This window comes from Homo sapiens, chromosome 3 (assembly GCF_000001405.40).
Source record: "Homo sapiens chromosome 3, GRCh38.p14 Primary Assembly".
Lineage (NCBI taxonomy): Eukaryota > Metazoa > Chordata > Mammalia > Primates > Hominidae > Homo > Homo sapiens.
In genome coordinates this window covers 9,702,490-9,730,290 of record NC_000003.12, presented here as the reverse complement: position 1 = coordinate 9,730,290, position 27,801 = coordinate 9,702,490, and the positions used below count along the sequence as shown (strand labels likewise).

Sequence of the window (27,801 nt, the reverse complement as noted above, 5' to 3'; positions counted from 1 at the left end):
GTAGTGAATGTTCAAAGAAAATATTAGCTGTTATTATCCTTATTAAAATAATTCAGAATAGATGGATCAAAGCAGAGTTATACTAAGTTATCTCCTTTAGTGGTCAGGAATTCGTTTGAGAATCTGCTGAGAACTATGGGTCGTGTGTAGGATTCGGATTTTATGGAAAAAAGAAAAAAAACAACTATGGGCCTCTCTCCTGAGGAAAAACATACAAAGTTTCACTTATTAAGGTCTTTGAAGAATGTATGAAGAAGTGATTGGATGAACGTGTTAGGATGGGGATGAATCTAACTGAAGCCATCCTGGTTCCCTCCCTCTTGATGTGGCCCCAGTCGTTGGGTCCCATAGTCTTCCTTCGCCAACATGCATGAGACAGAGGTGGAATAAAGATCAGCTTTATTATTGGCATGAAGGCAGAGAGGTGGTGATAGTGCCAGGCCCTCTGCAGGCAAGGAGGCGGAGGGCTTGTCAGCCAGCACTGATCCTCCAAGTTGGCCCTCCCAGTGAAGTCCAGGGTTCCAGGTGCCTCTGGCTTAAAGCAGAAGCAGTGGGTGAGCAGGCTTGCAGACTGTGAGGCATTGGATATGTGGAATCCTCAGGGCTGCTCTGGAGCTGGGATCGGGCTGGGGTTGGCAGGGGGTGGGGGCCGAGGCTGGATGTCTCTGGTGCGCATATAGGACAGCAGCTGCTCCGGGATCTCGGCCAGCACATCCTTGGCCAGTCGGGCCATGCTCAACACCTGGTTCCCCGACCGGTCAACATAGTCTCGGAATGGGACGAACTGGGTCAGGCACAGACAAGAAGAGATAAGCCATGACCAGGAGAGAGGGCATGGGGGTGCAGCAGGGAGGCTTCTTTTTTGATCCCCAGCATCTCTTTCCAACTATCACAGTATCTCCCTCTCCACATCTTGAACAGTTTTCTACATTTGCTTTCTCTCCACCCACTTTTTTTTCCACCTTTTATTCACCCTCAACCCACTCCAGTTTGGCTTCACACAGGCCATTGAAACTGCTTTTGCTGATGTCGTCAGTGGCCCTGTGTTGCTAAATCAGTCCAGTGAACAGTAATTTTTAGTCCTCATCTTGCTTGACTTCTCTTTAGCTTTCCATTACATTTGACCATAATTCTTCTGGACACGTCCCACTCTTGATACCACACTCTTCTGGCTTCTTGCTTACCTTTCTTGAAGCTCCCCCCTCCCACCACCATTCCTCTGGGTCTATCTGCTCTCTAAACCTGGTCCCTTCTCTCTCTCAGCTCTCTTCCTGGATGATTTCATACACTTCCATGACTTTAAAAATTGTTCCCTGGAAGGAAGTAGAGCAGGCCAGGAGGTGGGGAGGGAGACTGGAAAGGAGGGAGCAGGGGAGACAAGGGGCAGGGACCAGAGAGAAGGGATCCTGAGAACAGGAGGAGGTCAGAGAGATGGAGCTGGGGCAAGAAGGAGGAGGAGTCTGTGAGAAGGGGCTGGGAAGAGAGAGAGGCCTAGGAGAGGGACTTAGGGAGAGGAGAAGAAATGAGATGTGGGGGGAGAGGGGCTGATAAGGGAGAAAAAAAACAAAAGAAAATCTGTTTCTAATGACTGCCAAATGTATATATCCATCCATGACCTCTTTTCAAAAAATTATGTTTTATTTTTATTTATTTTATTTTTTTCTTTTGAGACAGAGTTTCACTCTTGTTGCCCAGGCTGGAGAGCAATGGTGCGATCTCGGCTCACTGCAATCTCTGCCTCCCGGGTTCAAGTGATTCTCCTGCCTCAGCCTCCCAAGTAGCTGGGATTACAGACATGCACCACCACACCCGGCTAATTTTATATTTTTAGTAGAGACGGGGTTTCTCCATGTTGGTCAGGCTGGTTTCGAACTCCTGACCTCAGGCAATCCGCCCGCCTCAGCCTCCCAAAGTGCTGGGATTACAAGCGTGAGCCACCGCGCCCGGCCTTTATTTTTTTAATGTAGCAGAGATCAGGTCTTGCTATGTTGTCCAGGCTGGTCTCAAACTCCTGGTCTCAAGAGGCCCTCCTGCCTTGGCCTACCAAAGTGTTGGGATTATAGGCATGAGCCGCCATGCTTGGGCCCATCCCTGACCTCTTTTTAAGGTCTAGAACCACATATTTAGTTGCCCATATTACCACTCCATTCAATTGTCACAGATACTTCGAACCCAGTGTGTTCACAACTGAATTCTAGCTCTTTCTGCCAAATCTCCTCCTCTAGCTTTCCCCTTCCCAGCAAATGGGATGTCACTCACCCAGTTGCTTAAGCTAGAATACTGAGTCATCCTTGAAGCCCTCCTCACTCCCTGTCATCATCTAATCATCAAGTCTTGTAAAATTTTCTTCTTAAATATCTTTTGAACCTGCCACTTTCTCTCCCTCCCCACTGCTTCTAGCCAGATCTTTATCGCCTCCCCTCTACTACTTCAAAGGCTTCCTCACTAATGAGTCTACCTGCCTTTTCTCTTGCCCTGTTACTGTCCACCCACCATGCAGCAGCTAGAGAGATCCTTTTAAAATGCCATCTCACTCCTCTATGTAAAATCCTTCAAGAGCTTTCCAATTCTAACATACCCCCAAATTTTGCCTCCCTCCTCACACTCAGTGTGATCCTGCTACCCTAGCTTCTGCTTTTTCGTGGATCGGGCCAGTTCTTCTGGGCCTCAGAGCCTTCTCACATGCTGCTCCTCTCCCTGTAATGCTTATCCCCTCCCTTAGGTCTTGGCAAGCTAAAGAACCCTTTCCTGACTACTGTACCTATGTTAGGTCCCTGTTACAGGCTCTCACAGTGGCATTTGCTATTCCTCTGGAGTACTTATCACAATCTAATGAGATATTTCTTTGTGTGATTATTTATTGTTGGTTGTCTCCACTAGAGGGCAGGGGCCTTGGGGACCTCCCGACCTACACCACGGATGTGCCAAGGCTGCAGCAACCTTCCTGTTTGTCAAAAAGGATGTATTCAATGAATGAGAAAGGATGAAAGAGTGACGGGGGAAAAAAGTAGGAGACTGAGAAGGCAGTAAGTGAAAGTGGCTCCCAACTTAGCCTCTTCTCACTGTGCCTCTCAGCTCCACAGCCTCTCCCACGTCAGGTCTACCTGAACGATGTCCCGCTCTGCGTAGCGTCCCCTAGAGGACACGCGCACATCATCACCGTCCAACTCTTCCATTGCTGCAGAAAAGACACACCCCTCAGCTGATTGGCCTCTCCAGCCCCACCCCATGCTGCCCCCTCCCTTTGAGCTCCCCTTTGGAGTCATCAGGAGAATGCCTAATGCTTGTGATCAAGTCCTACAAATATCAGTCTTCGTTATGGAGTTATTATTACTATTATTATGCCTCCCAGGCAGTCCATCCTCCCAGGAACCCCAGAGGGAAGTATTAGTATCATCAGCCTTGGTTCTGATAAGGAAACAGGTTCAGAGAAGGTCTGTGACTTGACCAAGGCTTCACACGGGGGTGTCTACCTTGTGTCATCTGTGAGGCAGGCCCAAGTACCCGACCCCCTCCCACTTTTCTCCTTAGTTCTTAGTCCCACTCAGGGACACCCCTTCCTACTCACCCTCAAACATGGCTGGTCCTACACCGACGATAATGATAGACATGGGCAATGAGGAGGCCTGTAGGGGAAAGAGGGTGAACTGTTGGGGCAAGCAGGCATCACTAGGGAGGTGACTGTTGGGAGACAGTTCTCTGTGTATGTGTGTCATGGTTCTGCACATCTTGTAAGCAGAGGCACCTTGATTTTCTCTGCCCCAGACTACTTTTTCAAGGATGTTTCTATATCAAGCAGCCTTGAAAGATATAGTATTTTCCTCTAGAGCAGAGGGCATATTTGCATACTGTCCAATATAGTTTTAAAAAAAGGTCTCCCTGGAGACCTTTGGAACAAAAGGCAAGCATGCTTACTGTCCATTATAAAAGACTCAAGTTCCCTAAGCTCAGGGTTCCTCTTCTGTAACGCAACCCACAGTGGCTGCAAGCATCATCTGTCCCTCTTCACATCATCCAGTGGGAACTGGGACTTAGAGAATTCAAGCAAATGCTAATACTCCAGCTACTGCTTTTGCTGGAAATCAAAGTCCTCTATCTCTAATCCAAGAGTCTTGTGTCTTCTGCCAGCATCCATGAAACTGGCAGGCTAACTTGTTAGCTTGCAAGTAGGATAAAATCTCAGCCCCTTCACAGTATTGACATTACTCCTCCCTGCCAAGCCCTCCTCCTCAGACTCACGCTGACGATGGCCTCCTTGGTCTGCGTCATGTCAGAGATGACCCCATCAGTGATGATGAGCAGAACATAGTACTGGGAGCCATCAGAGATCTTGGCTGCAGCCCTGGATGAGAGGCCAAATGAGAATCCAGCTGAAAGCCAGACAGGCCAAGGGAACACCTTACCCCCAGAGCTTCCACAGCCAGTGTGTGGGCAGTGGGCAGGAACTGGGGCTTCTGAAACCCATGCTCCTTCCCCAGACCTGGCAGCCTGCCACTGCCTGCATATATATATGTGTATATATCCATATATATACACACACATATATACATATATATGAAATATATACATATACACATATATACACATATATACACATATATGTATATATATATACACATATATATACATATATACACATATATACACATACATGTATATACATATATATACACATGTATACACATACATATACACATATATATACACATATATATATATATCCATACACACACATTTTTTGTTTTGTTTTGTTTTTGAGACAGAGTCTTACCCTGTTGCCCAGGCTGGAGTGCAGTGGTGTGATCTCGGCTCACTGCAACCTCCACCTCCCGGGCTCAGGTGATCCTCCTGCCTCAGCCTCCTGAGTAGCTGGGACTACGGGTGTGAGCCACCACACCTGGCTACTTTTTATATTTTTAGTAGAGATGAGGTTTCACCATGTTGGCCAGGCTGGTCTCAAACTCCTGACCTCAAGTGATTCGCCTGCCTCAGCCTCTCAAAGTGCTGGGAGCACAGGCATGAGCCACCGTGCCTGGTCTGCCTTCAGTAATATTTATTGAGCACTTACTATGGTAGACACTGGAGATACATGAGGAGAAAAAATAAATCCATCCCAGCCCTCTGGAGTGAGGCAGACATTAATCCAGGAATCACACAAAAATAGTGTAAAATCACCACTGTGATGAGTGCTGTGATGGAAGGGACACTGCTATGACGGTACCAGAGGGGATCCTGGCCAGGTGCAGTGGTTCATGCCTGTAATCCCAGCACTTTGGGAGGCCGAGGTGGGCGGATCACTTGAGGCCAGGGGTTGGAGACCAGCCTGGCCAATATGGTGAAACCCTGTCTCTATGAAAAATACAAAAACTAGCCAGGCGTGGTGGTGGGTGCCTGTAATCCCAGCTACTCGGGAGGCTGAGGCAGGAGAACCGCTTGAACCCAGCAGGCAGAGGTTGCAGTGAGCCGAGATCACACCACTGCATTCCAGCCTGGGTGACAAGAGCGAGACTCCGTCTCAGATAGATAGATAGATAGATAGATAGATAGATAGATAGATAGATAGATAGATAGGATCCTGATGTGACCCAGCAGGTAAGTGAAGGTTTCTTTAAGGAAGTGATGTTTGAGGATAGAAAGGCTAAATGAAAGAGGAGGATCTTTCTAGGAAGGGGGAACAGCAAGGAAAAAGGCGCTATAGTGGGACTAAAGAACAACTCCCCTGTGTGGAGGTCAGAAATTGAGGGAAGCAGAGTGGGCCACGTGGCTGAAGAAGCACAGAGCTTAGACCGCTCAGGGATTTATCAACCCCTGGCAAGATTTTGATGTTTATATATGAGCGAGAGCAAAGGCTGAAGGCTTCCTTGCTTCCTTCTCCCCCACATTTCTTCTCTCTCCCTTCTCCCCTCTGCCAGCCACATCTCATCGCCTGGGCTGCTGGGCCCCATGCAGTCCTCCCCCTGCCAATCTAACAGCTGCTTCCAGAGCTCCTTTTCCTTCTCTCACTAGTCTTTGAAGCCAAGATTTTTTTTCCACCTGAAAAGGACTTCAGAAGTCATTGAGTCCAGTCCCTTTATTTTGCATATTCAAAAAAAAAAAAAAAAAGACCTAGAGAGGGCACAAAGGTAGTGGGAGACCCTGGTCTCTTGACTTCCAGTCTCCAGTCCTGTGCGGACTGGAAAGGATGGAGCTGTGGCTGTCCAATAAGGTAGCCTTGGCTATTGAAATTTAAATTAATTAAATAGAGTTAAACATTCAGTTCCTTGGCCACCCTAGCTACTTTCAAGTGCCCCATATCCACATGTGGTTGGTGAGTACCATATTGGCCTGCACAGATACAGAACTTTTCCATCATTGCAGAAAGTGCTATTGGACAGTACTGTATTGAAACCTGATCTCAAAATGTGAGGAAAGGCATGGAGAGGGTGTAGAATTATAAAATAGCTTTGGGGACAGGTGGGGTGGCTCACGCCTGTAATCCAAGCACTTTGGGAGGCTGAGGCAGGAGGATCACTTGAGGCCAAGAGTTTGAGAACAGCGTGGGCAACATAGTGAGACCTGGTCTCTACGAAAAAATTTAAAATTAGCTGGGCTTGGTGGCGCGTGCCTATACTCTCAGCTACTCAGGAGGCTGAGTCAGGAGGATTGCATGAGCCCAGTGAGCCATGATGGCACCACTGCACTCCAGTCTGGGAGACAGAGTAAGACCCCAACTGAAATAAAAATAAAAGTAAAATAATAAAATAAAATAATTTTGGCTCAGTTTGCCCAGGGCCCAGAGTGGGAGTGGGTCATGATCCTGGTTTTTTTCTTTTTTTTTTTGAGACAGAGTCTCGCTCTGTTGCCCAGGCTGGAGTGCAATGGCACAATCTCAGCTCACTGCAACCTCTGCCTCCTGGGTTCAAGGGATTCTCCTGCCTCAGTCTCCTGAATAGCTGGGATTACAGGCGCCCACCACCATGCCCGGCTAATTTTTATATTGCTAGTAGAGACGGGGTTTCACCATGTTGTCCATGCTGGTCTTGAACTCCTGACCTCAAGTGATCCGCCCGCCTCGGCCTCCCAAAGTGCTGGGATTACAGGCATGAGCCACTGTGGCCAGCCATGATTCTCCTTTACATCCCCTACCCACTTCCTGAGTTCTGGCCCCAGCCTCCTCAGAGACCTGGCTTGGTACCTTTTCCTGTCACTTACTCATTTCATAAATAGCAATTGCATACCTACTGTGTATCAGGCACCACGCTGGGTGCTGAGCATGGAGCAGAATAGGATATTGTCCTTGGGGAGAGAGAGGATTAAACTACTAAAGTGTATTGAGGTTAGGGCTTTGAGGATGTAACATCTAACCTAAGTACCTGAAAAATGGGTTGGGTTTAGCCAGGTGGTGATGGTGGTGGGAAGGTAAAGGGAAAAGTGTTCCAGAGAAAGAGAATGGCAAGTGCAAACCACGAGGAGTTACATGTAGAACTACAGCGGAGAGGCTGGACCTGGTGGCTCACATCTAAGATCCCAATGCTTTGGGAGGCTGAGATCAGAGGATCCCTTGAGCCTAGGAGTTTGAGACAAGCTGGGCAACATAGCGAGACCCTGTCTCTACGAAAAAATAATAAAATTAGCCTGGCGTGGTGACATGCACCTGTGGTCTTAGCTACTTGGAAGGCTGAGGTGGGAGGGAGGATCGCTTGAGCCCAGGAGTTCAAAGCTGCTGTGAGCTGTAATGGTACCACTACACTCCAGCCTGAGTGACACAGTGAGAACCTGTCTCTTAAAAAAAAAAAAGAACTGTAGAAGACAATGGGCATCATGGAAGGGTTTGGGGGCACAGGAGGTACATCTTTGGTTCTCTGTAGATGCCTTGCATTCTCAAGGCTGTTTTTATCTGGAAGTTAGCTGAGAAAATGGGTGAGTGGCCAGAGGAGGCCAGTCTATGCCTCACTTGGCTGTAGAGTGGGAAACAGCAGAGTCCATTGTGATCATCAAAATCACAGATGTACACTTGACATACATGATCTAATTTAATCCTCACCGCCATTCTATAAGGTAGGCGCTTTAAAAGTTCCTATTTTTATGGCCGGGGACAGTGGCTCATGCCTGTAATCCCAGCACTTTGGGAGGCCGGGTGGCGGGGGGGGGTGGATCACCTGAGGTCAGGAGTTCGAGACCAGCCTGGCCAACATGGCGAAATTCCGTCTCTTCTAGAATACAAAAATTAGCCGGGCATGGTGGTGCGCACCTGTAATCCCAGCTGCTCATGAGGCTGAGGCAGGAGAACTGCTTGAACCCAGGGGCAGAGGTTGCAGTGAGCTGAGATCGTGCCACTGCACTCCAGCCTGGGTGACAGAGTAAGACTCCATCTCAAAAAAAAAAAAACTAAAAACAAAAAACAGTTCCTATGTTTAAAATGAGGAACCTGAAGCTTAGAGACATTAAGTAACATCCCCAAGGGGTTATGAAGCTGGGGTCCAAGCCCATGCCTGACCAGCTGAGCCTGAAGCTGGAGCTCTTGATTCTCTCACTCTCTATCCCCAGTCCATTATCTGGATAGTCCTCTGTACACAGTGCGCACTCTAGTCATATTAAACTCTTCACTGTTTCATGAACTTGCCCCTTCATGCCTCTGTTTTTCATATGCCATTCCTTCTACCAGGCCTACTCTGCTTCTGTTTCTCTCATAAAGTCTACCTCGTCCTCTAGACCCAGCTGAGCAGTCCCCTTTATGGTACTGGAGCCTATGCCCTACCCCCTCCCTCTAGGATACTGCTCCACCCACCAAGATGGGCTGTCTGCTCCTCTAAGTGGGTTCTCACTGCATGATCTGCTGGATAAAGCTAGATGACTATAAGTACATAAGACTATAAGTACTTAAAACACCTTTTTTCTCTAAATTAAACAGGGATGCAATGTGAGAAGAATATAAAATTTGCATGAATTTTTAAGATGAAATACGGAAACTTCAAAGACATTTTCAGCCTGACTGCTTTCAGCTATGCCCCCAGATTCCCCCAGAGGGACGCTGTCGCTTGCCTTTGCTGACAGGCGACTTGCTAGAAAAGTCTGGGAAGCTCTGGTCTACAGAAGGTAATGATTTATTTATATTTCTGTCTCCTGCACCAAGGCGGGAGCTCCCAAGGGGAGGGACTAGATCTGATTCATCTGTGAATCTTCAGTGCCCCAGCAGAGAACTGAGCACACAGCAGATGCCTTTTGGATAGTAATAATGATAATAATAGTAACAGTAATAGCGAACACCTATAGTATTTATGATGTGGCAGGCACTGTTCTAGGTGCTTGACATATATTAATTAGTTAGTCCTCACAACAACCCTATGAAGTAGACATTGTTACTTTCCTCATTTTACAAATGAGGAATAAGGCGCAGAGAGGTTAAGAATCTTGACCAAAGCCACAGCTAGTGAGTGATAGAACCAGAGTGTTAACTTGGCTAGTCTGGCTCCGGACACCACACTCAATGGTGCATTGCCCCTTTACTGAATGTTTACTAAATGAATGAATAAATTTTGAATTAGTGTAGTTGCATAAGATAATATTTAAGAAGTCAGCTTAATAACAACAAAAACATGCTCAGGTTCCAGTATTAGTGAAAAAAAAATCAGTAGTGAAATGTTATATGTATAATAATTTGACTATAATTATGGATACATAAGGAAAAGAACTGTATATACATCCACATTCCATGGGCAGTATTCAGGGTGATTTCTTCATTTCTCTATTGAAACTTTCTACGGTTATGATTAAAGAATCTATTATCATTACTGCAAATTAGAAAATAAATCTACTAGAATTAATACCTGAGTGATGAAATAATCTGTACAACAAACCCCCATGTGTCACATGTCTCAAGTTTGTTATGTAACAAACCTGCACATGTACCCCTGAACTTAAAAGGAAAGTTAAAAAAAAAACAAATCTTCGCTAGGGGAAAAAGTCTATGGACATATAAATCTCACTGAAATCCTTTCACTTTTATTCCCTTTTTGTTTAATCTTTTTACTTCTGAGCTTTCTGAGGGGCTTTGTGTTAGCTGGGTTTCTTCTGTTTACTATAAAGTGGGGTTTGCTTATTTTTTGTTCAATCAAATAATCTTTTTCTTTTTTAAGGTCAAACAGAGCTTATTTATGTTTATTGACATATGTTTGATTTTAGTTCTGTCATTTCATAAATTCGTTTTAAGTTTATTTTAATACCCTCTGGTTTTTTAAGCCATTTGATGTATGATCTGGGTTTTCTTTGGTTTGTGTGTGTGTGTGCATATATATATATATGTATATATATATATTTTTTTGAGACAGAGTCTTGCTCTGTCGCCCAGGTTGGAGTGCAGTGGTGTGATCTCGGCTCACTGCACCCTCTGCCTCCCAGGTTCAAGCAATTCTCTGCCTCAGCCTCCCAAGTAGCTGGGATTACAGGTGCCCACCACCACGCCTGGCTAATTTTTGTATTTTCAGTAGAGACGGGGTTTCACCATCTTGGCCAGGCTGGTCTTGAACTCCTGACCTCATGATTCACCCACCTCGGCCTCCCAAAGTGCTGGGATTACAGGTGTGAGCCACCACACCTGGCCTGCTTTGTATAGTTTTATTCTGAAAATTTGGACAGTCACTCATCTAGTTTTTAACTTATCATTTATGGAGCATGTACCATGGGCCAGACACTGTGCTAATACTTGTTACACTATTATCTAATTTTAACCTTGCAATAACTCTATAAGGAAGCTGCTATTGTCATCCATTATGACACCACCTTACAGGGATGAAATGGATGCTTAAAGAGGCGAAGTTGCTTAAGGTCAGATGGTTAGTGAATGGTGGAGGAAGGATCCCACTCAGATCTGATGCTAAAACGTACGCCTTCACCACAGTGCTGTAGGCTCTTCTCTCTCTTACCCAAACTCAAGCCCCAGCTTGTCATTCTCAGGCAGTGGGGTTAGGGTAATTTGCTGACACCCTTTGTGCCGCATAATAAGGTACAGTCATCCCTCAGTATCCACGGGGGATTGGTTCCAAGACTCCTGTGGATACCAAACTCCTCAGATATTCAAGTCCGTCATATAAAATGGTGTAGTATTTGCATATAACCTATACACATCGTCCTGTATACTTTAATTTTTTTAATTTAAATATTTAATTTAAAAAAATGAGCCAGGCATGGTGGCATATGCTTGTAATCCCAGCACTTTGGGAGGCTGAGGCAGGTGGATCACTTGAGGTTGGGAGTTCAAGACCAGCCTGGCCAACATGGTGAAACCCCGTCTCTACTAAAAACACAAAAACGAGCCAAGTGTGGTGGCATGCGCCAGTAATCCCTGCTATTTGGGAGGCTGAGGCAGGAGAATTGCTTGAATCTGGGAGGCGGAGGTTGCAGTGAGCCGAGACCATGCCACTGCACTCCAGCATGGCAACAGAGCAAGACTCTGTCTCAAAAAAAAAAAAAAAAAAAAAGAGATGGGGTCTCACTAAATTGCCTAAGTTGGTCTTGAACTCCTAGGCTCAAGTGATCCTCCTGCCTCAGTCTCCCAAAGTGTTGGGATTACAGGTATGAGCCACCATGCCTGGCCTCTCCTGTTTACTTCAAATCATCCTAAATTACTTAGAGTGCTCCTGACTATCCTTGGGGGGTCAATCCCTTATGTGGGTCCCCTCATTTCCCCCAGCTTCCACCCAGTTCCCTTACCTGGCCACTTGGTTGATGACAGGAGCAAAGTAGGTGGGCCCATAGAGCTGCACTGTGCGCAGGCTCTGGAAATAGCTCTCCAGCACACCCTCGATGCCCGCACAGTTGGGGTCCTCATCATTGTTGTTCTGTCAAAGAATATGCCCTGCCAGGCTGAGCCCATGCAGGGTACATGCAGGAGTGCTCTGATTCCAGCTCACTCCTTCCTTTTTCCATCAGTCCCTTTCATGCTCCCCTCCAAACCCAGCCCTGCTCCCCTCCCTGCTCTGCTATCCTCTCATAGCTTCCTGTTCCTCTACATGCCCTTTGAAGTAATGTAAACAGAACAAAATCATCAACTTGGGTGAACCAGATGCCAGGGCACGGAGGGTAAGCTCTGGCCAATACCATACCAGGGGGAACTGGTGGGAGATCCGTCCCTCTGGGGGCAGCTTGGCCCCAAAGCCATAAGCTGGGAAGAGCTTATCACTGTCATAGTCCTGGATGATCTCTCCCACTGCCTTGAGGGCCATGGCATAGGCGCTGAGCTGGTAGGGACTCATGTAGTGCAGGGAGGTAGGCTGCAGAGGATTCCCTGTAGGGACACAGGAACCCCAGCCTCATGATCATCTGGATCATCCATCTGTTCACCTGCTTATCTTTGTGTGCATTCATCCACCTATATCCATTTATCTGCCCTCTACCCATGTCCTCCCTCCTTATTTTACCCAATCATCCATTTGTTCATTTATCCATCTATCCACCCACCCATCCCTATATCTATTCATCCATTTACCTACCTACCCACACATCCATCCACCCATCTACCTAGCCATACATCTATCTTTCAGTCTACTTATACATCTTTATCCACCAATCTCTCCATTCTCTTATGCAGCTATCCACTTACCCACTCATCCATCCATCAGTCCATCCATCCATCCATCCATCCACCCACTTGTCTACTTGCCATTTTTCTTCATTTTCCACCCATCTATACAACAGTATTATTTTATCCATCCGGCTAGCCAGCCCTCTCCATTCCATTCATTCCCTTGTCTATTCTCATATGGATCTATCCACTCATGCATTTCCCCTAATTACTTGTTATTTCCCCAACTTAAACTTTAGTCCATTTGTCCACCCACATACCCATCGATGCATCTACTTGTCTAACCTATTATACTCACCAACCCATGTACCCACTCCATTTGTTCATGGATCTATGCATCCATTCATGACTCACCACCTGTTCACCTCTCCATCTCTCCTTATACCCCCTTTCTCTCTCATCCATCAGCCTACTCATCCACCTGTTGAGCTATATATCCTTTCAACCCTCTATGATCCATCTACCCATCTATTTTTCTGCACTCTATTTTCCTGGCTGGGTTTTGCCTAAGTTTGGGCTTCTTGGGTAGGTAAACTCTTATCTCTAGGTAGGAATCCAGGCCAACTCCTAATGACTCCCTTAGAAGTGCCTTCCCACCTCCGACTTTTTCACTCATCCGTGTCTCACCATTGGAAGCCGTGAAGTCAATGGCTACTGTGAAGTTCAGCTGTGTCCTGTTGGGGAAGCAGATGAATTGAGAAGTGAGGAACTAATGATTATTACATCACTATTTCTCAAACAGTAATGTGCATATGGATCACGTGGGGCTCATGTTAAAATGCAGATTCTGATCCAGATGGTCTGGGTAGAGCCTAACAAACTCCCAAGTAATGCTGATGCTGCTGGCTCATGGACTACACTTTAGGTAACAGAATTAAATGCCTACTGTGTGGCAGGTGTATTATATGTCATTTAATTTAACCCTTACTATAGCCCTGAAGTAGTGATTAATATCCCCATTTGGCTGGGCGCCGTGGCTCACGCCTGTAATCAGCACTTTGGGAGGCTGAGGAGGGTGGATCACCTGAGGTCGGGAGTTTGAGACCAGCCTGACCAACATGGGGAAACCGCATCTCTACTAAAAATACAAAAAATTAGCCGGGCGTGGTGGCGCATGCCTGTAATCCCAGCTACTTGGGAGGCTGAGGCAGGAGAATTGCTTGAACCTGGGAGGCGGAGGTTGCAGTGAGCCAAGATCGCACCATTGCACTTCAGCCTGGGCAACAAGAGTGAAACGCCATCTCAAAAAAAAAAAAATCCTCATTTTACATAGGAGAAAAGTGAAGTTCAGAGAAGCAAAGTTACCTTTCCCAGGTCTGCCTGCCTCCACCAAACCAAACAGAATGTCCCCTATAGTCTGCTTGGTTGTGCCCTCTCTTCTACCTCTCCCTCTTGCCTGACTATAACTTTATTTGTGCCCCAATTAGGTTACTGGGGCCACCAGTGAAGACCACTGGTCTGGGAGCCATCTTCCCAGGAGGAGTCGAAAGCTAAGAATGAAAAGCAGCCCCATGAAGGGAACTAAGAAGAGCAGTATTTTGCATTTTACAGAGCACTTTATAGTTGGCCAAGTGTTTTAAAGTTTATCTCCATGGTCTCACTGGGCCCTGACCATTCATAAATAAGAAACCTGGGGCTCAGAACTGGGAGTAATTTATTGCCGGGCTTTCAGCCCAGAGCTTGGCCTGTGACTCACCCTCCCTTGATGTAATCAACAAAAGTGAATTCAGAGTCCACAGAGAAGGAGAGCAGCGTCACCTGTGGGACAGAATAGGCAGCCCTGGCACTTTGGAAAAGGCAGTTGGGGTGGCAGAAGGAAGTGAGGCCCATAGGGGCTTGGAAAGAGGCACGTGATGGGAGGCACATGATTCCACCCGCTCCCCCAGTCAGTCCCACCCTGTTCAACTTCTGACAGGGGAAAAGGGGAAGCTGTCAGAAACATCGTTGGATTTCCAAAAGTATATTAAATTGGGAAATACAACTTAGGTTTTTTTCTTTTATTCTGCAAAAGAGTGAAGTCAGAAAAATTTCCTGAGTGAGAAAAAAAACAAAGAAAAACTTAAGTGGTGCTCCTTGTGCCCAATATTACTATTCCAAGTAATCTGTGCCCACTGTCTTGCCCTGCCCTCGATATTTGCCATGCTGTGTCAATGGGGACAGACACGGAAGGATCCAGGGAGGGCCACGGCTCTAGGGAGCACTCACAGTTCCTGAGTTGACATATTTCTTCTTCTTACATTTCTTCCGAGGGTTAAGAACCTAAGGGGAGGAGGTAACAGTGATGATGAGAAACAAAGGAAGGGAGGTCCAGACTGAGCACACTGGGATGGAGGGCCTGGGTGACCTGGGCAGGGCTGGAATGCTCACCTCATATACTGTGAACTGGTTCTGGGCCTTGCTCAGCTCCCGGTAGCTGGTGGTGAACTCACCAATGAAATCGTGGCTGCAATGAGGTGGGCGTGGCTAAGCAGCAGGTGCTGCTGGTTTGGAACCAGAGCTGAACCCAGTCTTTTATTCCTCCTATCCTAAGCCCCTACTTAGGCTGCAGGGCAGCCTAGTGCTGGGGCCATAAGGGAGGCCAAACATAGGGGAAAAACGGGAAGAGACAGTGTCCAGAGAGACAATTGGGGGGATCAGTTGTACCCAAGACACTGGTGTTTATCATCACCTTTCCTGGCTCCTAAAGCTACTTTGGGGTTCTCAGTGAATGTACAACATATTATTGAGAACTGCTTGGGTCAAGTACAGGAGAAGGGACCATGTGGGGCAGTTCTACCTTCCATCCCGGTCCCAGTCGTACACATCAATCTTCACCGTTCTGAAATGTAGGAGATAAACATACCCTAGGTGTGTATGATAAATCCCAGAGACACCCTCATACACTTAACCACACACATATCATCTCCCCATCCACCCATCTGTCTTCCCATTAAGTTGTTCATCTTTCAACCTGCCTCCCATCCTGTCTATTCATTCATCAGTCTGTGCCTGTACCCAACCACCTACCCCTATTAATACTACTCTGGTTAGTACCACTAATACTTTTTTTGTTTGTTTGGTTGGTTTTTTTTTTTTTTTTTTTTTTTTTTTTTACCACTTTGAGCCTTATTGTATTCCAGGCATTTTTCTCAGCACATTCACAGATTGTCTCATTTAACTTAACAATCACCCTATATAAAGTAATTACTATTATTATTATTTTGGGATAAGGAAATTGAGATACAAAAAAAAAAAAGTAATTTGGCTAAGATCTCATAGCTAGTAAATGACTGAACTGAGATTTAAACCCAGGCATCCTGATTCCAAAGACTTTGTTCTTAACTGTCATGCCTAAATCATTCCATATGTCTACCTATCAGTATATCAGCCCATCCAACCATCCGTCTATCCATCTAGCTACCTATTTACCCATATATTTGCCAGTCCAATTACCTATCAGTTCATCTCTTTAGCCACCTAACTATACATCTAGCCATTCACTGACTCACTGAGGCATGCAAGCATCCATCTGTCTGTCTGTCTACCAACTATATAACATCTATCCATCTGGTTATCCATTCATCAGCATAACCATTCATCTACTCATCTATGTGCCCATCCATTCTTCCACCCTTCCACCTACCACCTATCTTTATTATTTATTTATTTATTTATTTATTGAGACGGAGTCTTGCTCTGTCGCCCAGGCTGGAGTGCAGTGGCGTGATCTCGGCTCACTGTAAGCTCCACTTCCCAGGTTCATGCCATTCTCCTGCCTCAGCCTCCTGAGTAGCTGGAACTACAGGCGCCCACCACCACGCCCGGCTAATTTTTTTTGTATTTTTAGTAGAGATGGGGTTTCACCGTGTTAGCCAGGATGGTCTCGATCTCCTGACCTCGTGATCTGCCCGTCTCGGCCTCCCAAAGTGCTGGGATTACATGTGTGAGCCACCGCGCCCGGCCCCTACCATCTGTCTTTATACTACCCATTTACTCATTCATTTGGTTGGCCTATCCATCTAATTTATACCCATCCATCAACTAATTCACCTACAAATCCATCCGTTCATCCATTTGCCATCTATTCATCTATCCAACCATCAATCCACTTGTCACTCTACCTATCTTTTTGTATTCCACCTGCTTTTCTATTCATCCTCCTGCCTCCCCAGTCATCCATCAAACTCTCATTTACCAATTTATCACCCACCCATCCATCAGCTCATTCATCCGTTAATCACCCATCACCTGTATATCCACAAACCCACCCATCAGTCCAATTATCCATTCTTCTGCTGTCCATTCATTTATCTGCCCCTCTACCCACCCATCAATTCACTCATATATCCATCCACATACATATCCAACCATTCACCAGTTTACCCATCCAACGATCCATCCATGTATCTGCTTATTCATTTGTTCATCTGCCTTTTCATCTACCCATCCACCTACCATTCCATCCATCAGTCGATCCATCCCTGGATAGTCCACCTATCCATCTGTGTGGCTATCCATCTGCCTGTCCATCCACCCAACCTCATGCCCCAAACTCTGTCTCACTGAGCAGGACCCTCCAACGCTATTATGATACTTCTACTATCATTCTTGGGCCCAGGAACCACACTGGCATGTCCTTGGCTCCTTACTCCCCAGCTTATGCTGGAGCCAACCTGTCATAGTCTCCATTGCACAGAGCCCGCACAGGGATGCTGAAGGGCTGCCACACAGGATTCAGCGTGTTTTTCACAACCTCTGTCTTGTGGCAGATGGTGAACCTGGAGGGGAGTGGGAAGAATTGGTATAATTTATCTCGTGCCCGGGGTAGGACTGAATCCAGATGCTCTCAGAGATTCCTGAGATTCCCCCACTTGTTAAGCACATGGCCCACCCCAGCCTAACAGCCCTGATGGCAGTGACTCACGTGCCATCCTCATTGCTCCTGTAGAACACAAGGAAGGGGTCTGATTTCCCAAAGAAGTCCTTCTTGTCCAGCTTGTTTGCACACAGCTGCATGGTGGCAATGTCCTAGGGATGGATGAAGTTGGGCTGGTGGCACCCCAATTGTCCATAGCCTTCAGACAGTCCATTAAAGGGTTTACGGGGAGAGAAGGGAGCTCCTGGGTCTAGCATGTGGCCCTTACTGACCCGACAATTGCTAAGCTCTTCTGCAGTCAGCAATATGGTCCCACACTTCTTGCCTGGTACACCCCTGGAAGCAGAAAAAGCCTCTTAGTGAGAGGAGGGAGGGTAGGCAACAAGGATTGAGTGGCCAGTCTGGGGTTAGGTGGGCCAGGGGATTCAGTTTGCCATTTACTGACAGTCCCTTGTGTCTTGAGTGCCTTCTGGTGAGGAAGGGCCTCACTTTGACTGGGTGGGGTCTGCAGTCTGGTGAAAAGGGGTTAGAACAGCTTAGGTGAACATCTCACAACAGTAGCATGAGAAAGACATGGGATTTAGAGCCAGTGGATTTTATGATTGTTAAGCTGTGTGACCCTGGGCAAGTTATTTACCCTTCCTCGGCCTTAGTCTTTTTCTCTATGAAATGGGAATCATGATGACTTGTCAGGGCTGTGAACAGATCTGAATGAGTGCATGGAAGGAAAAGCAACTCGTAAGCCTTATAGATATGAGCTGGTTGTAGTCTTCAAAGCTGACTCTGGTTCTTACTATATGCTGGGTGCTGTGATAGATATGAATTGGGCAACTGGCTCTCTCCGGCTCTGCTAGACTGCCCGCAGGGAGCTTTGGGGGCGGGGGTAGGTGGAATGTCAATGCCAATAGGTAAGTAGAGTGGATTGTAGTGATACTGAATGAGGGAGAAGAATTTCTGTCCAGACCCAGGGACAAAAGGGCTAGCTTGTTAGGTCAAAGCTGATGTGCTTTCTGAAGACCATGGAGAGGGAGATTTAAAAGACAAGGGAAACTTTATCCTTTCCTGACCCTAGAAGGAACACTTCCATGTGCTTGAATGGTGCATACGAGAACCCCCATCCCCAGCAGTAAGAGACCTTGTTGATAGGGGCCTGTGAACCCTGATTCCCAAAGGGATCCAAAATGTGGCAGAGAGAAAACTAGGTCAGGAGGGTCCTGGGTTCCAGTCCTGGCTCTAACTTGCTATGTGATTTTCCCTATCCTTAGAATGAGAGTTGAACTATTTCTTTGGCTCCTTTGATCTTTGACTCTTTGTGCTTTGCAAAGAGGGAGTGTGATGAGAATAGGTTCTATTCGCCTACGGCTGGGCGCGATGGCTCACGCCTATAATCCCAGCACTTTGGGAGGCCTAGGCGGGCGGATCACCTGAGGTCGGGAGCTCGAGACCAGCCTGACCAACATGGTGAAACCCCATCTCTTCTAAAACTGCAAAAAAAAAAAAGAAAAAATTAGCTGGGCGTGGTGGCGGGCGCCTGTAATGCCAGCTACTCGGGAGGCTGAGGGAGGAGAATCGCTTGAACCCGGGAAGCAGAGTTTGCAGTGAGCTGAGATCAAGCCCTTGCACTCCAGCCTGGGTGACAGAGTAAGACTCTGTCTCAAAAAAATAAATAAATAATTCGCTTGCACATCCAGGACCAACAAATTGTTGATCCTGTTGCCTCCTCACTGTTCTTTGCCTCTTTGATGTTCTCCCTTACCACCTCATCCATCCAGTGTGAATTCCAGTCAGTGATTATAATAATCATTCCCTTGCATCCTGTCTCTTTTTTCCCTTCTCTCACTTTTTTTTAAGAGTTGGGGTCTCACTATTACCCAGGCTGGAGTACAGTGGCACAATCATAGCTCACTGCAGCCTCAAATTCCTGGACTCAAGAGATCCTCCCACATCAGCCTCTCAAGTAGCCGAGACTACAAGTGCACACACTACACCTGGCTAATTTTAAAATTTTTACTTTTTTAGAGACAAGGTCTGGCTATGTTACCCAGACTGGTCTTGAACTCCTGGCCTCAAGAGATCCTCCTGCCTCAGCCTCCCAAAGTGCTTTGATTACAGGCGTGAGCCACTGGCCCAATCTTTTCTCTCACTTTCGATATATTTACTTGGCAGAACCACAGCTCTAGTTAAGCCTCACTCTGCCTAACCCACACTGCACCTGTGAAACTGAACATGGCCAGACAAAAACACAATTATGCGAACTTGTCTCATTTCAAATGCATGATGCAGACTTCAAGAGGGTCCTTATTGCTACCTCAGAGTCATACTGTACATCCCAAGGCCCTTCACTCTCCAGTTCTGGTAGATGGCAGTTTCACTCCTTCTTTCTCCTCAACCCCTAAAGCCTCCTCCCCCATCCTCATTCTCAGCCAATGACCTTGTTTCCTACTCACTGAACAAAATTGAAGCAACCAGAAGAGAATGTCCACCCACCACCACACCTACCTTGCCACCAGTATCTTCACCCACACAAGTGTGACTCCTACAGTTGCTATAAATGAAGTGTCTTTGTGCCTATTTATCCCTCCACTGTGTACTATATTTCATACTGTCTTGTCTGCACGAGAACATCACTTCAGTAATGCTCACCTCTTTTTATTACATCAAGTTTTCAGTTTCTACTTGGTCATTCCCATCAATATGTAAATGTAGTATAATTTTCCCTTTTTTTTTGTAGAGATGGAGTCTCACTATGTTGCCCAGGCTGATCCTGAACTGGGCTCAAGTGATTCTCTCACCTCAGCCTCCAGAGTAGCTGGGATTACACTATGCCCGGCCAATGTAGTATAATTTATCTCATGTTAAATTTTTTTTTTCTTTTTTTTTTTTTTTTGAGATGGAGTCTTGCTTTGTCGCCCAGGCTGGAGTGCAATGGTGTGATCTCGGCTCACTGCAACCTTTGCCACCTGGGTTCAAGTGATTCTCCTGCCTCATCCTCCCTAGTAGCTGGGATTACAGGCACGCTCCACCATGCCCAGTTAATTTTTGTATTTTTAGTAGAGACAGAGTTTCGCCATGTTGGCCAGGCTGGTCTTGAACTCCTGACCTCAGGTGATACACCTGCCTCCACCTTTAGGAGGCCTCGGCCTCCTAAAGTGCTCGGATTACAGGTGTGAGCCACCTCACCCAGCCTTATGTTAAAAAATTATAAACTTGGCTAGGCGTGGCAGCTCACGTCTGTAATCCCAGCACTTTGGGAGGCCAAGGTGGGTGGATCACGAGGTAAGGCGTTCAAGACCAGCCTGGCCACGGTGGCGAAACCCCGTCTCTACTAAAAACTACAAAAATTGGCTGGGCGCGGTGGCAGGCGCCTGTAATCCAAGCTACTCGGGAGGCTGAGGCAGGAGAATCGCTTGAACCCGGGCAGCAGAGGTTGCAGTGGGCCAAGATCACACCACACCACTGCACTCCAGCCTGGGCGACAGAGTGAGACTCTGTCTCAAAAAAAAAAAAAAAAATTATAAACTTATTCTTGACCTCTCTTCCTGCTTCAGCCACATCTCTTTTTCTTTTCTTTTCTTTCTTTTTTCTTTGTTTTTTTTTTTTTGAGATGGAGTCTCCCTCTGTTGCCCAGGCTGGAGTGCAGTAGCGTGATCTCGGCTCACTGCAACCTCCGCCTCCCGGGTTCAGGCGATTTTACTGCCTCAGCCTTCTGAGTAGCTGGGATTACAAGCGTGCGCCACCACTCCCAGCTAAGTTTTTTGTATTTTTAGTAGAGATGGGATTTCACTATTTTGGCCAGGCTGGTCTGGAACTCTGGACCTCAAGTGAGCCACCCACCTCGGCCTCCCAAAGTGCTGGGATTACAGGTGTGAACCACCGCCCCTGGTCACACATCTTTTCTTTTCTCCCCTTTGCTGTAAAACTCCTTGAAAGTTTCCTTGACTTGGGCCGGGTGCGGTGGCTCACGCCTGTAATCCCAGTACTTTGGGAGGCCGAGGCGGGCGGATCATGAGGTCAGGAGATCGAGACCAACCTGGCTAACACGGTGAAACCCCATCTCTACTAAAAATACAAAAAAAATTAGCCGGGCATGGTGGCGGGTGCCTGTAGTCCCAGCTACTCCGGAGGCTGAGGCAGGAGAATGGCGTGAACCCGGGAGGCGGAGCTTGCAGTGAGCCGAGATCTCCCCACTGCACTCCAGCTGGGTGACAGAGCGAGACTCCGTCTCAAAAAAAAGATTCCTTGACTCCTTTCCCGCTCTTCCATTGTCTTCACCTCCACCTCTCCTTCAAAACTGTGCTTAAGAGTCAACAGGGATTTTCATCTTGCTAAATGCAATGGCCAATTCCCAATCTTCATCTTATTTGAGCTGTAGCAGCATTTGATGTGGTTGGTAACTCTCTCCTTCTTGATAACCCTTCTCTTTGCTTCCATGACATCACCCTCTCTTGGTTCTTCTCCTACTTCATTAATTGCTCCTTCTCAGTCTTCTTTTCTAGGTCCAATTTGTGGAGCCTTGGCCTTTGGTTCTCTCTCTCTCGTCTCCCTCTTTCTCTCTTTTTCTCCCGTCCTTCCTCCCCTCCTTTGGTGATCTCATCTAATAGCATGGCTTTAAAGTTAACATCTAAGGCCGGGCTCAGTGGCTCATGCCTATAATCCCAGCACTTTGGGAGGCCAAGGCAGGAGGACTACTTGATGTCAGGAGTTCAAGACCAGCCTGAAAAACACAATGAGGCCCCCTGTTTCTACAAAAAATAATTTAAAAATTAGCTGGGGCTGCTGGCATCCACTTGTAGTTCCAGCTACCTGGCTTCTTGGAAGGTTTAAGTGGGAGTATTCCTTGAGCCCAGGAACTGGAGGCTGCAGTGAGCTACCATTGCACCATCGCGCTCCAGCCTGGGCTACAGAGTGAGAGCCTGTCTTGAAAAAACAACAACAAAACCAACATCCAAGACTCATTTGATACCTCCACTTGGATGTCTAACATTTTATATGTTTATAAAACATAAAATTCAACATGTCAGATTGAACTCTTGATTGAATTCCTCCTCCAACTTGCTTCTCCTTCACGTTTTTTTTTTTTTTTTTGTCTTTTTTGTCCACAGACAGTCTCACTCTGTCACCCAGCTTGGGGTGTCACCCAGGCTTGAGCCCAGGAGTTTAAACTCCTGGGCTCAAGTGATCCTCCCACCTCAGCCTCCCAAGTAGCTGGGACTACAAGTGCACACCACCATGCCTGGCTTTCCTTTGTTTTTTTCCCTACTATCTCAGTTTGTGTCAATTCCATCTTTCCTGTTGTTCAAGCCAAAGATCTTGGTGTTGTCCTCAACTCCTCTTTTCCTCTCACATTCATATTCAATCTGTCAGGAACCTGTTAGCTCCACCTTTAAAATATATCCTGAATCTGACCACTTCTCCCCTCCTTCACTGGTAGCATCCTGGATTACTGTCAGAGTCTTCTCATTGGCTCTCTGCTTCTACCTTTGGCCACCCAAGGTTTATTCTTTTTTTTTTTTTTTTTTTTTTTGAGACAGAATCTCGCTCTGTTGCCCAGGCTGGAGTGCAGTGGCACAATCTCAGCTCACTGCAAGCTCCACCTCCCAGGTTCACGCCATTCTCCTCCCTCAGCCTCCCAAGCAGCTGGGACTACAGGCACCCACCACCATGCCTAGCTAAGTTTTTGTATTTTTAGTAGAGACAGGGTTTCACCGTGTTAGCCAGGATGGTCTCGATCTCCTGACCTCGTGATCCGCCTGCCTCAGCCTCCCAAAGTGCTGGGATTACAGGTGTGAGCCACCGCGCCTGGCCCCCAAGGTTTATTCTTAACCCCACAGCTAGCACCATCTTTTGTAAGCCGCCATGTCATGTCACTCCTCCGCTCAGAACCCTCCAGTGACTCCCGTTTCAGAGGAAAGGTGGAAGTCCGCTGCAAGGCCCTGTTAGCTCTTCAACCTCACTTCCTCCTGCCTCCCAGTCACCTGGCTCCAGTCTTGCTGGCCTCCTTGCTGTTCTTTGAATGCACCAGGCTTTTGCACTGGCAGTCTCCTCTGCCTGGAACATTCTTCCTCCACATGTCTGTACCTTACCTCCCTCAGGTTGTTGCTCCAAAGTTACCTGTCCGTGAGGCCTGCTCAACCGCACTGTTGAATCCTGCACCTCCCACTCACCCATTATTTCCAGTTCCGTTGATTCTGCTCTACTTCGTCTCTTTCCCCATAGCACTTAATATTGTCTAATCTATTATGTAATTTACTTATGTCTATTTTGTACTGTCCTCCCCACACAACTAGAGTATCAGCCCCCTGAGGACAAGAACCTTTGTTTTGTTCACCATTGCAAGCTAATCCCCTTTAACAGTGGCTGACATAGGGTATGTATACATAGTGTTTGTGGAATGAATGAAGCCCTGGTGCCTAGAACAGGGTGTGGGATATAAAACATGCTAATGCATATTTAGTGAGTGGATGTAATGGTAATTCCTGAGGATTTGACTTAGTCCGGGGGAGCTTCCCTGTGGAGAGGGGCTTGGAAGTGGACCTTAAAGGCTGAATCAGACTTAGAAAAAGAGTGAGGAGAGAGAGAGAGAAACAGAGAGAGAGAGAGAAAAAAAAAAAAGAAAAGAAAAGACATATCAGGCCTGATACTGACTCGGGCAGAGCACTGGAAATTGGACTTTTCTACGAGGGTGATGGGAGCCGGGGCAGGCTCCTGACCAGGGGCAACCCCAGCCTCCACTTCTATCAGTCAGCGGCATCCTTGGGAGGGAGAATTTGGAAGCCCCCACCCCACTCCCACACCCCTTCCTATTCAGCTTACGTGAGGGTTCGCTCTACTCGGCTGCCCTGGCCTCCAATCACCTCTCCCAGGGCCAGGAACGCTTGTCCCAGGAAATCCTATGCAGGACAAGGAGTCAGCAAGACCAGAAGCTCTTGAGTGCTGAGTCCCAGCCTAGCCCCAGTGATGCTCCTGCACAGGACCAGGGCAGTTCCCAGGCGAATGAGTGGTGCAAGAGCCACGGCCCTACATGGGCTTTAATGGAGGGGGTGTGAAAGAAGGGGTCTGCGAGCAATCTCTGCCTTGTAGTGGGTCATCAGTCCAAGCCTGTTCTCCACAATACCACCCCCACCCCCAACCTCTGCCCAGCCCCATTCAGCCTCACCTTCTGCAGGTCCCAGCAGTGGCAGCCAAGAAGGAAGAGGAACAGTGAGTAGGGGGCACAGGCAGGACACTCAGGCAGGAGGAGAGGGACCAGGAGGGTGGGTTGGGGGCCTGAAGAAGATGGGGTCTGGGTCGAGGGTTGGGAGGAGTTCTGAGAGTCGTTGAACACATCTAAGTGCCTCCTGTGCGCTCCGCCAACCCTCGAGGAAACGTTTGCTCACCGGTTTGGAGATGTTGGTTTTGGAGTCCACGTTGTACCTGGGAAAAGAGTGGAACCGGTGTGGGGTGGGGCTGGGTGGGGGAGAGGGTGGAAAGGGGTCGGGCACCGAGTCTTGGTGAAAATTTTGGGTGGAGGGATGGGCGGCCGTGGACCCGAATTCAGCTTTGGTCTCCTTTTGGGGAGGAGTCAGGGTGGGCTGAGTAGTCAGACGGTCAAGCCTGGGCCGAGGCCAAGTCAGGGGCTGCTGGGGGCAGGGTTGTGTGGAAGGGGTCGGGCCTGAGGTGGAGCTGCGATAGGAGCAGAGTTGTGGGCGGGGCCAGAGCGGGGGACGGAACTGGACCGCATCTCATAAAAGGGCAGGGCTCAGGCTAGAGGGGGCCATTCAGAATGGGAGGGAGGCCTGCGAGAAGAACCAGGCCGGAGGCGAGGCGGGGGTGGGGCCAGCCAGAATTCCGGGCGGATCCAGGTCGGGGGCGGGCCAAGCCAGAATTCCAGGCGGGGCCTCACACATCGAAGCGCAGATTTTGCTTTTCCTCAAAGAAATAGTCGAGGACGAATTTGCGCACGAAGTCTGGGTTCAGCGTGTTATCAATCACCTCGGTCCGTCCGAACTGGGTAGGGGGGTGGAGGGTCAGCGTGGGACGTGCAGACGGGCAGGGGAATTCCCGGGCGACGCCCTGGGCCGGGAGGGGGCTCTGGGACTCACCTCCCGCCACTCCTGGCTGGCCCGGCTCTGCGTGTAAAGCACCACCACTGCAGGTGGGGGCGGGGAGGGAAGGACGTCAGGTCGGCTCCCACCCCTGGCCCCGACTCCACCCGCCCCTGAGTCGCGCCCAGACCCCAAGTTCCCCCTCCCGGTCCTGGAGCCGCCTACTGGGGTCGGACTTGGAGAAGGTATCAAGGTCTAGCAGGTTCCTAGAGAAAAGCAACAGACAGACAGAGTGGATCATCCTGGAGTCCGCCCGCCTCGAGTCGGCTCTGAGCCGGGCACTGAGGAGAGGCATGGGGCCCGCATCGAACCTCTGTCCCCCATGGCTACCCCCAGCCGGGGTCCGCTCTGTCAGCACTCTGGACAGCACCGGAAATCGCTGTCCAGGAACCATGGCTCTGCGGACTGGACGCGAACGCACCCACACTGTCTCCAAGGGCCCAGGAAAGAGGGCTCGCCCCAGAACTTTGTCCTCCTGGGGCCGAGCTCCTACCGGATATCTGCGACCCACCCCCTGAACCCGCAGGCTGAGCCCTTTTTTCGGGGTGGGGCTGCCCAAGACCCCCCGCTTCTCGATCCCACCAGCTACTCGCCCTGTCATCAGCTGTGATTTTCCAGCCAATTTCGCCTCTCCCCGGGGGTCTAGCCCCTGCCCAGGCTGAGCCCCGCGGCTGGCTGGGGCTGGGGCAGTGCCAGTGCCTAAGCCCTCCCCAGCGCGGCCCGCTCACCGGCAGGACACGGTAATTTCAATCTTGGTGGCCGGGACGCTGCGCTCGGAGGCTCCGCCGAGAGACATGGCTGGTCGGGCGACCAGAGCCGCAGGAGGCTGCGAGACCAGGGCTGCTGGGGCTAGGGGCGACGGCAGCGGCGGGGCCGGCCCATGTGCCGCGGTGTCGGCGGCGGCGGCGGCTGCACTCGCTCCAGCCCTGCGTGCGCTCCAGCCGCTCGCGCCCTGACAGTGGCCGCCGGCGGCAGCGGCTCCAGATGGCAGCACAGCCCCGCCCGGCCCTGCGGGCGGCCCCCGCCCCATTGGAGCAGCCTGGAGCCAGCGGGGAACCTCACCCCGACTCCCAACTCCAACCCACACCTTGGTAGAGTCTGCCCTGCGCAAGTCTCTGGGGTGGAAACCCAAGCCCCCTAGAGTTGTCCATGATGCTGAAACATTTGGGGCACCTGGTGGGCACTGGAATTGTTGCCTCTTACTGAGCCACTCCCTTAGTGTTTCTGTCTTTTCCCACTCCCAGCCTGCCTAGGTCTCTGAATAGGAAAAGTACATCTCTTAGTAGCTGTGTGACCTTGGACAAGTTACTCAACATCTCTGTGGCTCAACCGTGAAAGGCCGTCAGAAAGGCCTTTAACAGCAGCTACTTTAGGTGCTGTAAAATTTTACTGAGATAACCCAAGGAAAACACTTAGCACACAGCAAGTGCTCAGTAAACATTCACTGGTATTTATGATTTGTCCTCTGGGTATTCACAATGATGACAGTAAATGGTGGCTGTTGAGCACCGTGCAAAGCTGTCTGCCCATGCCTTTAACCCTCACGACTTTCATGGCGTTACAGATGCGGACACACTCTCATGACGCAATCTACTGTAGGTTACACTGTAGAAGAGGGTGGTGGTCAGCCAGGCTCTCACCCACCACACATGCACACCAATTGCTATCTCCAAAGCTTCAGAAGCCAGTCCTTCCTCCATAGGCAGGGCTCAAGGTAGGGGATGCAGGTCACCCGTACCAGGACCCTGCTGCCTACAGAACTTGTTAAAGATGAAGATCCTGGTCAGGTACGGTGGCTCATGCCTGTAATCCCAGCACTTTAGGAGGCCAAGGCAGGCAGATCACTTGAGCTCAGGAGTTTGAGACTGGCCTGGCCAACATGGTGAAACCCCATCTCTACTAAATACAAAAATTAGCTGGGGATGGTGGCACGTTCACGTAGCTACTCAGGAGACTGAGGCAGGAGGATCGCTTGAACCCAGGAGGCAGGGGTTGCAGTGAGCCAAGATTGTGCCATTGCACTCCAGCTTGGGTAACAGTGAGACTCCATCTCAAAAAATCTGAAAAAAATGAAGATCCTCCAGCTCCTAATTCCCAGGCAACTTCCTTAGCAACCCTAAGGCTAAAGCTCAGGCAGCCCTGGGAATGTGCACAGCTCATCAGGCTCTCTAGGTGACTAGGACCTGCTTAGGCCCGAGAACCACTACTCTCAACAGTCTTGAGTGTTGTCCCCACTGCAGGGACTACCATGGCTCATGAGTGGAGAGGTATACCTGTCGCCAGTTCTCTTCCTGTTTCACCTG

General features: G+C 48.6%; 1 protein-coding gene across 7 annotated transcripts, besides 3 other annotated features; it reads right to left on the bottom strand.

The window, feature by feature from the left end:
• On the bottom strand, positions 383–26,458 carry CPNE9 (copine family member 9). 7 transcript variants are annotated; one of them, NM_153635.3, is made up of 21 exons: positions 26,227–26,458; positions 25,664–25,704; positions 25,496–25,542; positions 25,297–25,400; positions 24,791–24,827; positions 24,571–24,573; positions 24,228–24,304; positions 17,687–17,750; positions 17,463–17,566; positions 17,212–17,316; positions 15,336–15,377; positions 14,927–15,002; positions 14,765–14,818; positions 14,256–14,317; positions 13,187–13,233; positions 12,081–12,262; positions 11,689–11,816; positions 4,240–4,342; positions 3,569–3,626; positions 3,105–3,178; positions 383–784 (listed from the first exon to the last, which is right to left on the bottom strand). In NM_153635.3, the coding sequence occupies exons 1-21, from the start codon at positions 26,292–26,294 to the stop codon at positions 599–601; spliced, it is 1,662 nt and encodes a 553-aa protein (NP_705899.2). In that variant the 5' UTR covers positions 26,295–26,458; the 3' UTR covers positions 383–598. The 7 variants fall into 7 exon arrangements, with proteins under 7 accessions (NP_705899.2, XP_011531688.1, XP_047303450.1 ...); NM_001308388.2 differs by lacking the exon at positions 383–784 and adding an exon at positions 2,841–2,944; XM_011533386.3 differs by lacking the exon at positions 26,227–26,458 and having other exon boundaries at positions 25,664–26,118.
• Positions 2,813–2,862: an enhancer, noted in NCBI's record as "active region_19405". NCBI's record gives its function as "activates an Ori minimal core promoter by ATAC-STARR-seq in GM12878 lymphoblastoid cells {active_cell/tissue: GM12878}" and the evidence as "EXISTENCE:reporter gene assay evidence [ECO:0000049][PMID:35858748]".
• Positions 14,376–14,505: a silencer, noted in NCBI's record as "fragment chr3:9757470-9757599 (GRCh37/hg19 assembly coordinates)". NCBI's record gives its function as "represses an EF-1alpha promoter that drives an FKBP-Casp9 reporter gene in an ReSE screen in HepG2 liver carcinoma cells {active_cell/tissue: HepG2}" and the evidence as "EXISTENCE:reporter gene assay evidence [ECO:0000049][PMID:32094911]".
• Positions 25,909–26,819: an enhancer, noted in NCBI's record as "H3K4me1 hESC enhancer chr3:9745156-9746066 (GRCh37/hg19 assembly coordinates)". NCBI's record gives its function as "activates a minimal SCP1, AML or CMV promoter by ChIP-STARR-seq in naive H9 embryonic stem cells {active_cell/tissue: H9 hESC(naive)}" and the evidence as "EXISTENCE:reporter gene assay evidence [ECO:0000049][PMID:30033119]".